Below are 16064 nucleotides of genomic sequence, written 5' to 3' on the forward strand. Positions count from 1 at the left end.
TCAAAGACTGAGACACTGGCATCTGGCTAGGACCTTTGTGCTGCATCACATCATGGGAGAAGGAAGAAGGGAAAGACAGAGCAAGAGAAAGAGCAAGATGGAGGCAAGCCCACTTCTGCAATAGCAAACCCATTCCTGTGATAATGGCATTAGTACCTTCATGAGGGTAGAGCCCTTATGACCTAAACACCTCTAAAAGTTCCACCTCTCAATATTGCCACAATTACAATTAAATTTCCACATGAATTTTGAAGGGAACAAGCATTGAAACTATAGCAAAAAGAAAATAGTAGTCGTGAACAACACTATAAGTCAACTAAACGTAACAGACATGTATAGAACACTTTAACCAATAACAGCAGACTACACATTCTTCTGAAGTACTATGGAACATTCTCCAGGATAGATCATGTTCTAGGCCGTAAAACAAGCCTCAAAAAATTAAAATTACTGAACTTATGCAAAGTAAATTGTCCAATTATAATGGAATGAAACTACAAATTGATTTAAAAAATGAGAAATCCAAAAATATGTAGAAATTAAAGAAAACTCTTAAAATTCAAAGGGAGAATAAAGAAATTACAAGGAAAATTAGAAAATATTTTGAGAAAAATAAAAATGAAAACACAACGTATAAAATCTTTTGGGCTGCAGGTAAAGAAATGCTCAAAGAAAATTTGTAGTTTATATGTCTGTATCTAAACAGGAAGATCTCACATCAATAATCTAAATTTGTACCTTAAGAAATTAAAATAAGAAAAACAATCTAAACCCAAAACACCTAACAAGAGAGCTCCAAAACATATAAAGAAAAACATTGACAGAGTTGAAGGGACAAATATACAGTTCTCTAATAACAGACGAATACTTATAATATCCCACTTACAATAATAGATTAAACAAGTACACGAAATTGCAAAATGGAAATAGAGGACATAAAAATACTAAAAAGCAATAAGACATAACAGAAATTCATAGACCAACCAACTGAACCACAAAAGAATACATGTTCTTCTCAAGTGCACATAAAACATTCTCCAGGATAAATGATATATTAGGCCTTAAAACACAGCTCAACATATTTTGGACGAATGAAATTATACAAAGTCAGTTCTCCGACCACAATGGAATAAAATTAGAAATAAATAACAAAATAAATATTAGGAAATCCACAAATATGTAACATTGAAAAATTACACTTTTAATTAATCAACACTTTAAAGAAGAAATCAGAAAGAAGATTAGAAAACACCAGGTGTTGTTATCAGGGTGAGGTTGGCCTTCTTTCTCTATTGCTTGGAATAATTTCAGAAAAAAATGGTAACAGCCCGTCTTTGTACCTCTGGTAGAATTTGGCTGTGAATCCGTCTGGTCCTGGACTTTTTTTGGATGGTAGGTTATCAATTACTGCCTCGATTTCAGAACTTATTATTGGTCTATTGAGGGATTCGACTTCTTCCTGGTTTAGTCTTTTTGTTGTTGTTGTTTTCTTTTTTTATTATCATACTCTAAGTTTTAGGGTATGTGTTCACAATGTGCAGGTTAGTTACATATGTATACATGTGCCATGTTGGTGTGCTGCACCCATCAACTCGTCACTTACATTAGGTATATCTCCTAATGCTATCCCTCCCCCCTCCCCCCACCCCACAACAGGCCCCGGTGTGTGATGTTCCCTTTCCTGTGTCCATGTGTTCTCGTTGGTCAATTCCCACCTATGAGTGAGAACATGCAGTGTTTGTTTTTTTTGTCATTGAGATAGTTTGCTGAGAATGTTGGTTTCCAGCTTCATCCATGTACCTACAAAGGACATGAACTCATCATTTTTTATGGCTGCATTGTATTCCATGGTGTATATGTACCACATTTTCTTAATCCAGTGTATCATTGTTGGACATTTGGCTGGAGAGGATGTGGAGAAATAGGAACACTTTTACACGTTGGTGGGACTGTAAACTAGTTCAACCATTGTGGAAGTCAGTGTGGCGATTCCTCAGGGATCTTGAACTAGAAATACATTTGATCCAGCCATCCCATTACTGGGTATATACCCAAAGGATGATAAATCCTGCTGCTATAAAGACACATGCACACATATGTTTATTGCGGCACTACTCACAATAGCAAAGACTTGGAACCTGGTTTAGTCTTGAGAGAGTGTGTGTGTCCAGGAATTTAGCCATTTCTTCTAGATTTTCTAGTCTATTTTTTATTTTATTTATATATATATATATATTTATTACACTTTAAGTTCTAGGGTACATGTGCACAACGTGCAGGTTTGTTACATATGTGTACATGTGCCATGTTGGTGTGCTGCACCCCTTAACTCGTCATTTACATTAGGTATACCTCCTAATGCTATCCTTCCCCACTCCCCCACCCCACAACAGGCCCCAGTGTGTGATATTCCCCTTCCTGTGTCCAAGTGTTCTCATTTTTCAATTCCCATCTATGAGTGAGAACATGCGGTGTTTGGTTTTTCTGTCCTTGCGATAGTTAGCTGAGAAGATTTTCTAGTTTAATTGCATAGATTTGTTTATAGTATTCTCCGATGGCAGTTTGTATTTTTGTCAGATCAGTGGTGATCACCCCTTTTTCATTTTGTATTGTGTCTTTTTGATTCTTCTCTCTTTTCCTCTTTATGAATCTGGCTAGCAGTCTATCTATTTTGTCAATCTTTTCAGACAACAAGCTCCTGGATTCGTTGATTTTCTGAAGGGTTTTTCGTGTCTCTATCTCCTTCAGTTCTGCTACAATCTTAGTTATCTCTTGTCTTCTGTAAGCTTCTGAATTTGTTTGCTCTTGCTTCTCTAGTTCTTTTATTGTGGTGTTAGTGTGTCAAATGTAGATCTTTCCCGCTTTGTATAAAAATGAAGACACATCATACAAAAACTAATGAGATGCAACTAAAGCACTGCTCAGAAGAAAATCTATAATTTTAAATGTCTATATTTATTTATTTATTTTTATCTGAACGCAACTTTGGTTTTTTATTATACTTTAAGTATTAGGGTACATGTGCACAATGTTCAGGTTTGTTACATATGTATGCATGTGCCATGTTGGTGTGCTGCACCCATTAATTCATCATTTAACATTAGGTATATCTCCTAATGCTATCCCTCCCAGTCTATCATAGATAGCCACTTCGGTTGGTTCCAAGTCTTTGCTATTGTGAATAGTGCTGCAATAAATATGCGTGTGCATGTGTCTTCATAGCAGCATATTTTATAATCCTTTGGGTATATACCCAGTAATGGGATGGCTGGGTCAAATGGTATTTCTAGTCCTAGCTCCCTGAGGAAGCGCCACACTGACTTCCACAATGGTTGAACTAGTTTACAGTCCCACCAACAGTGTAAAAGTGTTCCTATTTCTCCACATCCTCTCCAGCACCTGTTGTTTCCTGACTTTGTAATGATCCCCATTCTAACTGGTGTGAGATGGTATCTCATTTTGGTTTTGATTTGCATTTGTCTGTTGACCAGTGATGATGAGCATTTTTTCATGTGTTTTTTCGCTGCATAAATGTCTTCTTTTGAGAAGTGTCTGTTCATATTCTTCGCCCACTTGTTGATGAGGTTGTTTTTTCCTTGTAAATTTGTTTGAGTTCATTGTAGATTCTGGATATTAGCCTTTTGTCAGATGAGTATATTGCAACAATTTTATCCCATTCTGTAGTTTGCCTGTTCACTCTGATGGTGGGTTCTTTTGCTGTGCAGAAGCTCTTTAGTTTAATTAGATCCCATTTGTCAATTTAGGCTTTTGTTGCCATTGCTTTTGGTATTTTAGACATGAAGTCCTTGCCCATACCTGTGTCCTGAATGGTATTGCCTCGGTTTTCTTCTAGGGTTTTTCTGGTTTTAGGTCTAACATTTAAGTCTTTAATCCATTTTGAATTAATTTTTGTATAAGGTGTAAGGAAGGGATCCAGTTTCAGCTTTCTACATATAGCTAGCCAGTTTTCCCAGCACCATTTATTAAATAGGGAATCATTTCCCCATTTCTTGTTTTTGTCAGGTTTGTCAAAGATCAGATAGTTGTGGATATGTGGCATTATTTCTGAGGGCTCTGTTCTGTTCCAGTGGTCTATATCTCTGTTTTGGTACCAGTACCATGCTGTTTTGGTTACTGTAGCCTTGTAGTATAGTTTGAAGTCAGGTAGCATGAAGCGTCCAGCTTTGTTCTTTTGGCTTAGGTTTGACTTGGCAATACAGGCTCTTTTTTGGTTCCATATGAACTTTAAAGTAGTTTTTTCCAATTCTGTGAAGAAAGTCATTGGTAGCTTGATGGGGATGGCATTGAATCTATAAATTACCTTGGGCAGTATGGCCATTTTCACGATATTGATTCTTCCTACCCATGAGCATGGAATGTTCTTCCATTTGTTTGTATCCTCTTTTATTTCATTGAGCAGTGGTTTGTAGTTCTCCTTGAAGAGGTCCTTCACATCCCTTGTAAGTTAGATTCCTAGGTATTTTATTCTCTTTGAAGCAATTGTGAATGGGAGTTCACTCATGATTTGGCTCTCTGTTTCTCTGTTATTGGTGTATAAGAATGCTTGTGATTTTTGCACATTGATTTTGTATCCTGATAATTTGCTGAGGTTTCCTATCAGCTTAAGGAGATTTTGGGCTGAGACAATGGGGTTTTCTAGATATACAATCATGTCATCTGTAAACAGGAACAATTTGACTCCCTCTTTTCCCAATTGAATACCCTTTATTTCCTTCTCCTGCCTAATTGCCCTGGCCAGAACTTCCAACACTATGTTGAATAGGAGTGAGGACATCCCTGTCTTGTGCAGATGTCTATATTTAAAAAGAAGAAAGATTTTGAATGAATAACTTAACTGTATCCTTTGAAGACTAGAGAAAAGAACAAGCTAAACCCAAATGAAATAGGAAGAAATAAATAAAATTTTTAGTGCAAATATGTAAAGCAAAGAATACAAAATCAACAAACGCTGTAGCTGTTTAATTGAAAATATCCACAAAATTAATAAACTTTCAGCTAGGTTGATGAAAATATGGGAAGAAAAATTACTAAAATGTGTAATCAATGAATATTATATACAATTATAGACCAAAAGGCTAGTTGTCATACTAGATCACAAAGTTGATTCACTAAATAACAGAAACTTGATTGACTTATTAAATGGAGACATTCCTAAAAAGGCATAAACTACAAAAATGACCGAAGATAAACAGAAAGTCTAAATGAATCTATAAGAAGTAAAAAGACTGAGCTAATAATAGTATTAAAAGAACTTCCAAAAAGAAAAACCTATCAGACGATGGCTTCACTGGTTAATTCTATAAAATAACAACTGAATCTCAATCAATGCAATGCAGCATATTAATAGAATAAAGGGGGAAAGTCATGATCATTTTAAGAGATGCATGAAAAGCATTTGATAATACCATACACTATTTCATAATAGAAATATTCAACAAACTAGGATTGTTAAGAAAACTTTCTTAACCTGATTCCATGTGAATTTGGCTGGAGGACACAGCCTCCTCCTGTTGTTCTGGGATACAGCCAAACAGCAGGGCAGGTGACCCAGTGAACTCCCACCGCTGGTAGCCAGGTAAGCAACACTTGCTAGAGCTTCTGGCCCAGTGATCCTGCTTCTGTGTAAACTCAGCTGGAGGGTGCACCCTTCTATTACTATTACATTGGGTCTTAGTTTCCAACATATGAATTTGAGGGGAATACACACATTCAAACCATAACTATGGTCATTTGCAAAGTTAAGTCTAACATACAAACATGTAGGTCTATTATGGACATGTGGGGAATGTATTTGTGCTTGGTGTGTGTGTGTGTGTCTGTGTGTTTATCTGTCAGGTTCTCAAGATAAAAGAAAGAATAGGGTCACAATTGATAAAGAAATTATGTCCAAAATGTTGCAAGTGAGTCAGGAAAGCTAGAGAGAGTATAATGCAGTAACTCAGAGCTATAATATTAACTGGAGCTTCATTACCATTCCTGGCCTTAGAGAAACAATTGAAAGAAGCATGCAACTTCTGTTATTTTCATAGATAATGCATACATGAATTGCTTCTACACTAAGAAGTCAATGCTTAAATTTTAAAAGAAAAGCAATGTGAAAGGGCAGAAGCTTAAGGAAAACATATCATTGAAGATGATAAATCTTGCATGCTCAAAAGTCAGTAATTAGCTGATATCTAAAATGGCTTAATTTTTCTAAAGAAAAATTAATTTGTGAATGAAGGATTGAAGAATAACTTGTTTAAAGAAAGCAGTAAAACAACTCCATTACACACTTCTTCAGATGCAGTTTTATTTATGATTAGGACCTCAGAACTTTGTGACAGACAGAGATGAGAGCAAATCCTTGTTCTTCCACTTGCTGTTTAGGTAACCATTGTGGTTTAGAGTTTCAGACCTTATACCAACATGTATGAACCTACTAAATTTACCTTAGGAAAGAAAGCGGCAAGTTTTTAGTTTTTTTTAAATAAGTCTGATTCCTAGCTTTGAATAAAAGTAAAAGTATGCATTATGCTAATTTTTAAGAACCAACTGTGTGATTCAAGTAGTTTTCATAAGGGTCCCTGCAAAAATAACAACTGATGAAAATAAACCAACTCCTCAGTTCATAGAATTTTACCAAAGAAGTAAATGTGAAGAAGCCAGGTCAGTGTGTTGCATAAATGCAATTCTCCAGCCCCAATAATATAGAATGCCATTAGAAAAGGTCACGTTTTTTCCAAGGTAGAAAATGTCAGCAAGTTTAAATAATAAAGGCCATCCTCGATTATATGAAGCACTGCCATAGTTAACTGTTGACTGAGAGGGGAGGGGAAAATAACTAAACAAGATCATGTTGAAATCTTATCAAATAAACTATAGTAATTATTTAAATTAAATTATCAAAATATGTCTGATATTTTATATTTTCTCCCCTCCAAATACTAACCAGGCCTGACCCTGCTTAGCTTCTGAGATCAGACAAGATTGGGCATCTTCAGGGTTGTATGGCCGTAGACTAATATGTTATGTTTTCTATTACCGCTTCACTGAAACAGGAAGGGTCAAATGCTGTATGCATTTATGAAAAGCAGTTATAATCATTCTAAAAGGAAAAAAATCCAATGACTATCCGTAATAATATTAACAAAGTTATAAAAATTAGGAAATAGACAATAAATTATATAAGGAATTAGAAAGTACTTCACATAACATGAAAATTATCAGATTTTTTAAAAATCAGCAAATGTTTAATTTTCAAAGGCACTCAAAATCTCAAAGGAAGTAAATTAAAATAATTAGCCTTTGTACTTGCTCTTAGTTGATCATTTTGCTGCTGACAAAAGTATGAAAAGATTTTCTGTAAAATTTCCTAGAAAGCATAACTTCAGCTTTTCATTTTAACATTGGAAGGTATTACACAGACATTTGCAACATTATCATAGTCATATGTTTTCTGTAGTAATTTGTCTGTTAGCTGTATCTCAGAGACACTTTGCAGGCCTGGTTTTAAAAATAGTAGTGTTTAGGTAAAGCAGAGAGATGAACATGAAGGCAGCTTTCCAAGATACCTTCGTGAACTTCCATAACAATGAATAGAATCTGTATCACACATATTCAAAATCAATTTCATTTTCCTATCACTGCAGTTTGTTGTTTTGCAGGTAATGTGAAAAGGCTCTTCTAGTTACAGAATCTGGGATTATCTCCAAAGACAGCCTCATATTTTCATAACCTGGAGACTCTCCTAAAAGTTGGATTGTCTGTAGCATTGCCATTTCACCTAGATTTCTTTTCCACACTATATCCAATTTTCCCATTTCTCTTAGTCCCTTAATGATACCAGCTTCCTCTGAATATTTCTGCTTGAGTTGAACATGGTCTAAGTACTGGCGTCCTTCCATTGACTGCAAAAATGTCGTTGTTCCAAATGTACATTGATTTTCTCCATCTTGGTTGACAGTATTTAATTCTTTTCCAGTGTGCATATCAGATTACATAAAGGAAATACTTTGTATAAACACAGTTGAAGATGAAGTATTCCGAATCTAGATTTCGAGAAATAAGTCATTCTTCTCTGAATTGTAAAACTTGGTTTTATTATCCAATTGTGAGAGGAAAGAAAATAAGCACAGTTTCCTAAAAAAACATTTTTTTCTCCACACTGAGCTGAATAAACACTAAACCCATAAGGACAACTCTTCCAATGCCTGTTACACGTCAGATGACATCATCAATACAACAATGGGGTACAAGTTCTGCCACTATAGCCATGGAGACCAAAACATGTAAGGGTTAAGTACTTGTTTGAATATCATCATTTTCAATATGATTTTTGCAACTTAATTGCTATCTTTGGAAATACTCATATAACCATAATTTTTTACCTCTCTCAAAAATATAGTTCTAAGGATTTATGTTCATTTCAATTTTTCCCTCAAGCATTCACATTTCTGGTGGAGGATCACCTCTGATTAGCTGATTAAAGAAATTACCAGGTAAGTCATTCTCTTCATACGTGACTAGAAAATTAGTTAACAAACTATGCCTAGTAGACAGTATCACCCTAGTAGACGGTATCATTTGAGTGTCATAAAGATCTCCTGTCTGTGTGGATTATTTTCCATTTTAATGACAATTTTTTCCTATTGTTTTAAAATTTACCCAGGATTTGTCTTAATCAGGCATGGTAAGATGACAGACAGAGAAAACCACCTTGGCAAGAGGAATTTATTACTTACAATTCCCAAGAAAAGAGGGGACGATGCTCCTCACAGAGCCACATGAGGAAGCACGAGGTTCTATTAGGAGGCAGAAGCAGCCAGGGGAAAGCACAGGTACAGGACTATGTTGTGGCTTCCATGACAAAGACAAGGCAGTTCAAGGGAAGTAACTTAGGATTGAGTAGTTTAAACAATGTCAGTAGGCTCAGAGCTGTAGGTACTACCCCTGGTTGCCTAGTGCCTGGTCCTGGGATAATACTAAGACAGGAGGATAGTGACTCAATAAATTAGATAGTTAGCAGGCATGGGCTCTGGGTTGGTTTGTTTGCATATGACAGGTGTGCTCAGATGGCAGTTGTTTTCTATCTCTAGGAATTAGCTAGCCCTGGGAAGGGAAGTCTCTCCTCATCCATCAAGGCCCCAAAAGGTCAAAGCATCATAAAATATAGGCAATTTTTGAAACCATGTTTAATACACCTACTGGCTATGGTCACTGGGGAAATGAGGGGGTGAAGGCAGGCCCAGAACAAAAAAAGGACAGTACACAGAGGAAAGGGCCTGGCTTCAGAATAACTCCTATATCAGTCAGTGTCCAGCCTGAGAAGTAGAACCAGTGAAAGATAGATACATAGTGATATGGTTTGTCTGTGTTCCTACCAAAATCTCATGTTGTATTGTGATCCCAATTGTTGGAGGTAGGGCATGGTGGGGGGTGACTGAATCATGGGGCTGGTTTCTAATGGTTTAGCACCATCCCCCTAGTGCAGTCTCATGACAGAGTTCTCATGAGGTCTGTTTGAAAGTGTGTAGCACTTCCCCTTTCACTCACTGTCTCTCTCCTGTTGGCCTTGTGAAGACATGTCTTGCTTCTTCTTCACCTTCAGCTATGACTGTACATTTCCTGAGGCTTCCCCAGCCATGCCTTCTATACATCCTGTGGACCTATGAGTCAATTAAACCTCTTTTCTTTATAAATTATCCAGTCTTGTGTAGTGCTTTATAGAGTGCAAGAATGGACTAATATAGCTAGATAGATCAATAGATTCATAGATAGACAGACAGATGAATGGATGGACGGATAAATACTTGTTACAGGGATTTGGCTTACACAGTTGTGGGGGCTACTCAAGCAGTCCATATAATGTCTCTACATCTGATTCAAGTGCTTGAAGTCCACAGCATATGCAGTTAGAAAGGTAATATCATAAAAAAGGATGGAACTCCAAGAGTAGAAGCTGGAAGCCCACAGAATGGACTGAAGCACATGTCTGCTCTAGAAGCCTGTGAGCTTGGTGATGATAGTATTCTGCAGAAGCTAAGGACCTTTGTCCTTGAGCTCTACACACACAACTGGCTCAACTGCTTCTTCATCCCAAGTTGAGTCAACAGATAAGCAACAATGTGTTTGTGTTATCAAATGGATTCTGCTTCCCTTCCAACTTCTGAAATCTTGGAAGAATCTCCTTTGCGGCCCATCCTAAATGGAAAAATACAATAAATGAAATTCCAGGAAATGTAGTTTGGCTCAGCAAAGTTGATACATTACAAATCCATCAATAACATCCATCCCTGCCAACATGTCAACTTTGTTCATGATTCCATTGGAAAATAAGAGGAGTTCCTTGTGATGAAGCCTGACTGATATCCACAGAATGTTTCATTTTATTTACCTGATAATTCAAATCCTCCTCTGCTCATGTCAGTCTTTGTTGAGCATTCACAAGGGACACTAATATCTTCACATATTGTGGAGCATTCTATTTACGTATCTCTTTGCAAGACCCTGAATCCTGGACAGCACCTCTGAACCCATCTGAAGGTTGAGAGACCTCACCACCTTGAAGAGAATAAAACAGGTGTGACTTGCATTCCCACTTGCTGATTGTAAGCTCCAGGGCCTTGAGTAAACATAGGCAGCAGCCAAGGAGTGGTTACAGAAGGCCTTGAATTAGACCTAATGCTGTGTTTGCTTCAGGTCTCACCCAGTGCAGTCATAGTTGTGGCATCAGGCGGCTCAGAGCAGAGACAAAGACTCTGTTTGAGAGAAAGCAAAAGAAAAGAACAAAGATCACTGCCTTATAATCCAGAGAACTTGCCCAGATCTTGTCCAAGACCATCAAGTGGGTAATCTCAGAGTCTGGAAGAACCACGGCATTACTGGGTTTGGATGTCCCCTAAAGCAGAAACAACTTAGATCACAGCACCCAAATTATTTTAAATATCTGGAAAACCTTCCCAAGAAAGAAAGGTACAATAAGTTCAGTCAGTGAAGACTACAATAAATACCTAACTCTTCAATGTCTGGACACTGAAGAACATCTACTAACAACACCAACCTGGAAAACATGACCTGACCAAATGAAATAAATAAGGCACAAGGGGCCAATCTTGGAGAAACAGAGATATGTTACATTTCAAAGAATTCCAAGTAGCTGTGTAGAGGAACCTCAAAGAAATTCAAGATAACACAGAAAAGGAATGCAGAATTCTATCAGATAAACTTAGTAAATAAATTGAAATAATTTAAAAGAATCAAGCAGAAATTCTGGAACTGAAAAAAATGTAATTGGCATACTGAAGAATGCATCATAGTCCTTTATTAGTAGAATTCATCAAGCCAAAGAAAGAATTAGTGAGATTGAAGACAGGCTATTTGAGAATGCACAGTCAGAGGAACAAAAGAAAAAAGAATAAAAAACAATGAAGCATGCCTAGAGGATCTAGAAAATAGCTGCAAAAGGGTTATTCTAAGAGTTGTTAGAAGAGTTGCTAGTCTTAAAGAGGAGATAAAGAGACGGGAGTAGAAAGTTTATTCAAAAATATAATAATAGAGAATGTCCTAAACCTGGAGAAAGATATTGATATTCAAATATAAGAAGTTTCTAGAACACCAAGCAGATTTAACCCAACGAAGACTGCCTCAAATCATTTAATAATTGAACTACCAAAGGTCGAAAATAAAGACAGGATCCTGAAAGCAGGAAAAGAGACATATAACATAAAATGGAACTCCAATACATCTGACCTAAGACTTTTCAGTGGAAACCTTTCGGGACAGGAGAGAGTGGCATGATATTTTTAAAGTGCTAAAGGGAAAAACATTTACCCTAGAATAGTATATCTAGCAAAAATATCCTTCAAACATGAAGGAGAAACAAAGACCTTCCCAGACAAAGAAAGTCTAAGGGATCTTATCAACACCATACCTGGCTAACAGAAATGTCACAGGGAATACTTCAATTAGAAAGAAAAAAACATGAGTGAGCAATAAATTATCACCTGAGGGTACATAACTTGCTGCTAATAGTAAGTACACAGAAATTTAAAAAAAACTCAAAATATAACACTGTAACTGTGTTATGTAAACTACTCCTATCCTAACTAGAAAGATTAAATAATGAGCTAATCAAAAATAATAACTATAACAACATTTTTATTTTATTTTATTTTATTATTATTATACTTTAAGTTTTAGGGTACATTTGCACAATGTGCAGGTTAGTTACATATGTATACATGTGCCATGCTGGTGTGCTGCACCCATTAACTCTTCATTTAGCATTAGGTATATCTCCTAATGCTATCCCTCCACCCTCCCCCAACCCCACAAGAGTCCCCAGAGTGTGATGTTCCCCTTCCTGTGTCCATGTGTTCTCATTGTTCAATTCCCACCTATGAGTGAGAACATGCGGTGTTTGGTTATTTGTCCTTGCGATAGTTTACAGAGAATGCTGATTTCCAATTTCATCCATGTCCCTACAAAGATGAACTCATCATTTTTTATGACTGCATAGTATTTCATAGTGTTTATGTGCCACATTTTCTTAATCCAATCTATCGTTGTTGGACATTTGGGTTGGTTCCAAGTCTTTGCTATTGTGAATAATGCCGCAATAAACATACGTGTGCATGTGTCTTTATAGCAGCATGATTTATAGTCCTTTGGGTATGTACCCAGTAATGGGATGGCTGGGTCAAATGGTATTTCTAGTCCTAGATCCCTGAGGAATCGCCACACTGACTTTCAAAAAGGTTGAACTAGTTTACAGTCCCACCAACAGTGTAAATGTGTTCCTATTCTCCACATCCTCTCCAGCACCTGTTGTTTCCTGACTTTTTAATGATTGTCATTCTAACTGGTGTGAGATGCTATCAAATTGTGGATTTGATTTGCATCTCCCTGATGGCCAGTGATGGTGAGCATTTATTCATGTGTTTTTTGGCTACATAAATGTCTTCTTTTGAGAAGTGTCTGTTCATCTCCTTTGCCCACTTTTTGATGGGGTTGTTTGTTTTTTTCTTGTAAATTTGTTTGAGTTCATTGTAGATTCTGGATATTAGCCCTTTGTCAGATGAGTAGGTTGCGAAAATTTTCTCCCATTTTGTAGGTTGCCTGTTCACTCTGAAGGTAGTTTCTTTTGCTGTGCAGAAGCTGTTTAGTTTAATCAGATCACATTTGTCAATTTTGGCTTTTGTTGCGATTGCTTTTGGTGTTTTAGACATGAAGTCCTTGCCCGTGCCTATGTCCTGAATGGTAATGCCTAGGTTTTCTTCTAAAGTTTTTATGCTTTTATCTCTAACGTTTAAGTCTTTAATCCATCTTGAATTAATTTTGGTATAAGGAGTAAGGAAGGGATCCAGTTTCAGCTTTCTCCACATGGCTAGCCCTTTTTCCCAGTACCATTTATTAAATAGGGAATCTTTCCCCATTTCTTGTTTTTCTCAGGTTTGTCAAAGATCAGATAGTTGTAGATATGCAGTGTTATTTCTGAGGACTCTGCTCTGTTCCATTGATCTATATCTCTGTTTTGGTACCAGTACCATGCTGTTTTGGTTGCTGTAGGCTTGTAGTATAGTTTGAAGTCAGGTAGCGTGATGCCTCCAGCTTTGTTCTTTTGGCTTAGGGTTGACTTGGCGATTCAGGCCCTTTTTTGGTTCCATTTGAACTTTAAAGTAGTTTCTTCCAATTCTGTGAAGAAAGTTATTGGTAGCTTCATGGGGATGGCATTGAATCTATAAATTACCTTGGGCAGTATGGCCATTTTCATGATATTGATTCTTCCTGCCCATGAGCATGGAATGTTTTTCCATTTGTTTGTATCCTCTTTAATTTCATTGAGCAGTGGTTTGAACTTCTCCTTGAATAGGTCATTCACGTCCCTTGTAAGTTGGATTCCTAGGTATTTTATTCTCTTTGAAGCAATGGCGAATGGGAGTTCACTCATGATTTGGCTCTCTGTTTGTCTGTTATTGGTGTATAAGAATGCTTGTGATATTTGTACATTGATTTTGTATCCTGAGACTTTGCTGAAGTTGCTTATCAGCTGAAGGAGATTTTGGGCTGAGACGATGGAGTTTTCTAGATATACTATCATGTCATCTGCAAACAGGGACAATTTGACTTCCTCTTTTCCTAATTGAATACCATTTATTTCCTTCTCCTGCCTAATTGCCCTGGCCAGAACCTCCAACACTATGTTGAATAGGAGTGGTGAGAGAGGGCATCCCTGTCTTGTGCCAGTTTTCAAAGGGAATGCTTCCAGTTTTTGCCCATTCAGTATGATATTGGCTGTGGATTTGTCATAGATAGCTCTTATTTTGAGATACGTCCCATCAATACCTAATTTATTGAGAGTTTTTAGCATGAAGTGTTGTTGAATTTTGTTAAAGGCCTTTTCTTCATCTATTGAGATAATCATGTGGTTTTTGTCTTTGGTTCTGTTTATATGCTGGATTACATTTATTGATTTGCGTATGTTGAACCAGCCTTGCATTCCAGGGATCAAGCCCACTTGATCATGGTGGATAAGGTTTTTGACGTGCTGCTGGATTTGGTTTGCCAATATTTTATTGAGGATTTTTGCATCAGTGTTCATCAAGGATATTGGCCTAAAATTATCTTTTTTGCTTGTGTCTCTGCCCGGCTTTGGTATCAGGATGATGCTGGCCTCATAAAATGAGTTAGGGAGGATTCCCTCTTTTTCAATTGTTTGGAATAGTTTCAGAAGGAATGGTACCAGTTCCTCCTTGTACCTCTGGTAGAATTTGGCTGTGAATCCATCTGGTCCTGAACTCTTTTTGGTTGGTAAGCTATTGATCATTGCCACAATTTCAGAGCCTGTTATTGGTCTATTCAGAGAGTCAACTTCTTCCTGGTTTAGTCTTGGGAGGGTGTATGTGTCAAGGAATTTATCCATTTCTTCTAGATGTTCTGGTTTACTTACACAGAGGTGATTGTAGTATTCTCTGATTGTAGTTTGTATTTCTGTGGGATCAGTGATTATATCCCCTTTACCTTTTTTTATTGCGTCCATTTGATTCTTCTCTCTTTTCTTCTTTATTAGTCTTGCTAGCGGTCTATCAATTTTGTTGATCCTTTCAAAAAACTATCTCCTGGATTCATTAATTTTTTGAAGGGTTTTTTTGTGTCTCTATTTCCTTCAGTTCTGCTCTGATTTTAGTTATTTCTTGCCTTCTGCTACCTTTTGAATATGTTTGCTCTTTCTTTTCTAGTTCTTTTAATTGTAATGTTAGGGTGTCAATTTTTGATCTTTCCTGCTTTCTCTTGTGGGCACTTAGTGCTGCAAATTTTCCTTTACACACTGCTTTGAATGTGTCCCAGAGATTCTGTTGTGTTGTGTCTTTGTTCTCGTTGGTTTCAAAGAACATCTTTATTTCTGCCTTCATTTCGTTATGTACCCAGTAGTCATTCAGGAGCAGGTTGTTCAATTTCCATGTAGTTGAGCGGTTTTGAGTGAGTTTCTTAATCCTGAGTTCTAGTTCGATTTCACTGTGGTCTGAGAGACAGTTTGTTATAATTTCTGATCTTTTACATTTGCTGAGGAGAGCTTTACTTCCAACGATGTGGTCAATTTTGGAATAGGAGTGGTGTGGTGCTGAAAAAAATGTATATTCTGTTGATTTGGGGTGGAGAGTTCTGTAGATGTCTATTAGGTCCACTTGGTGCAGAGCTGAGTCAATTCCTGGGTGTCCTTGTTAACTTTCTGTCTCATTGATCTGTGTAATGTTGACAGTGGGATGTCAAGGTCTCCCATTATTAATGTGTGGGAGTCTAAGTCTCTTTGTAGGTCACTGAGGACTTGCTTTATGAATCTGGGTGCTCCTGTATTGGGTGCATATATAGTTAGGATACTTAGCTCTTCTTGTTGAATTGATCCCTTTACCATTATGTAATGGCCTTCTTTGTCTCTTTTGATCTTTGTTGGTTTAAAGTCTATTTTATCCGAGACTAGGATTGCAACCCCTGCCTTTTTTTGTTTTCTATTTGCTTAGTAGATCTTCCTCCATCCCTTTATTTTGAGCCTATGTGTGTCTCTG

At 37.0% G+C, this 16064-nt stretch overlaps 1 long non-coding RNA gene and 2 pseudogenes across 7 annotated transcripts in view; all 3 read right to left on the reverse strand.

The window, feature by feature from the left end:
* RNA5SP508 (RNA, 5S ribosomal pseudogene 508) lies at positions 6904-7022 on the reverse strand (annotated as a pseudogene).
* TRAPPC13P1 (trafficking protein particle complex 13 pseudogene 1) lies at positions 7400-8630 on the reverse strand (annotated as a pseudogene).
* Positions 9693-16064, reverse strand: part of MIR325HG (MIR325 host gene) — a 356735-nt gene continuing 350363 nt past the window's right edge. For 4 of the 7 annotated variants that reach the window (NR_110405.2, NR_110403.2, NR_110406.2 and 1 more), the window contains one exon: positions 9693-10203. This is a non-coding gene — a long non-coding RNA (MIR325 host gene). Of the gene's footprint in view, positions 10204-10396; positions 10564-16064 lie in introns of all 7 variants that reach the window. The other 3 variants (NR_110404.2, NR_110400.2, NR_110401.2) reach the window with 1 other exon arrangement.

The sequence above is a fragment of the Homo sapiens genome, chromosome X (genome assembly GCF_000001405.40).
Source record: "Homo sapiens chromosome X, GRCh38.p14 Primary Assembly".
Classification (NCBI taxonomy): Eukaryota; Metazoa; Chordata; class Mammalia; order Primates; family Hominidae; genus Homo; species Homo sapiens.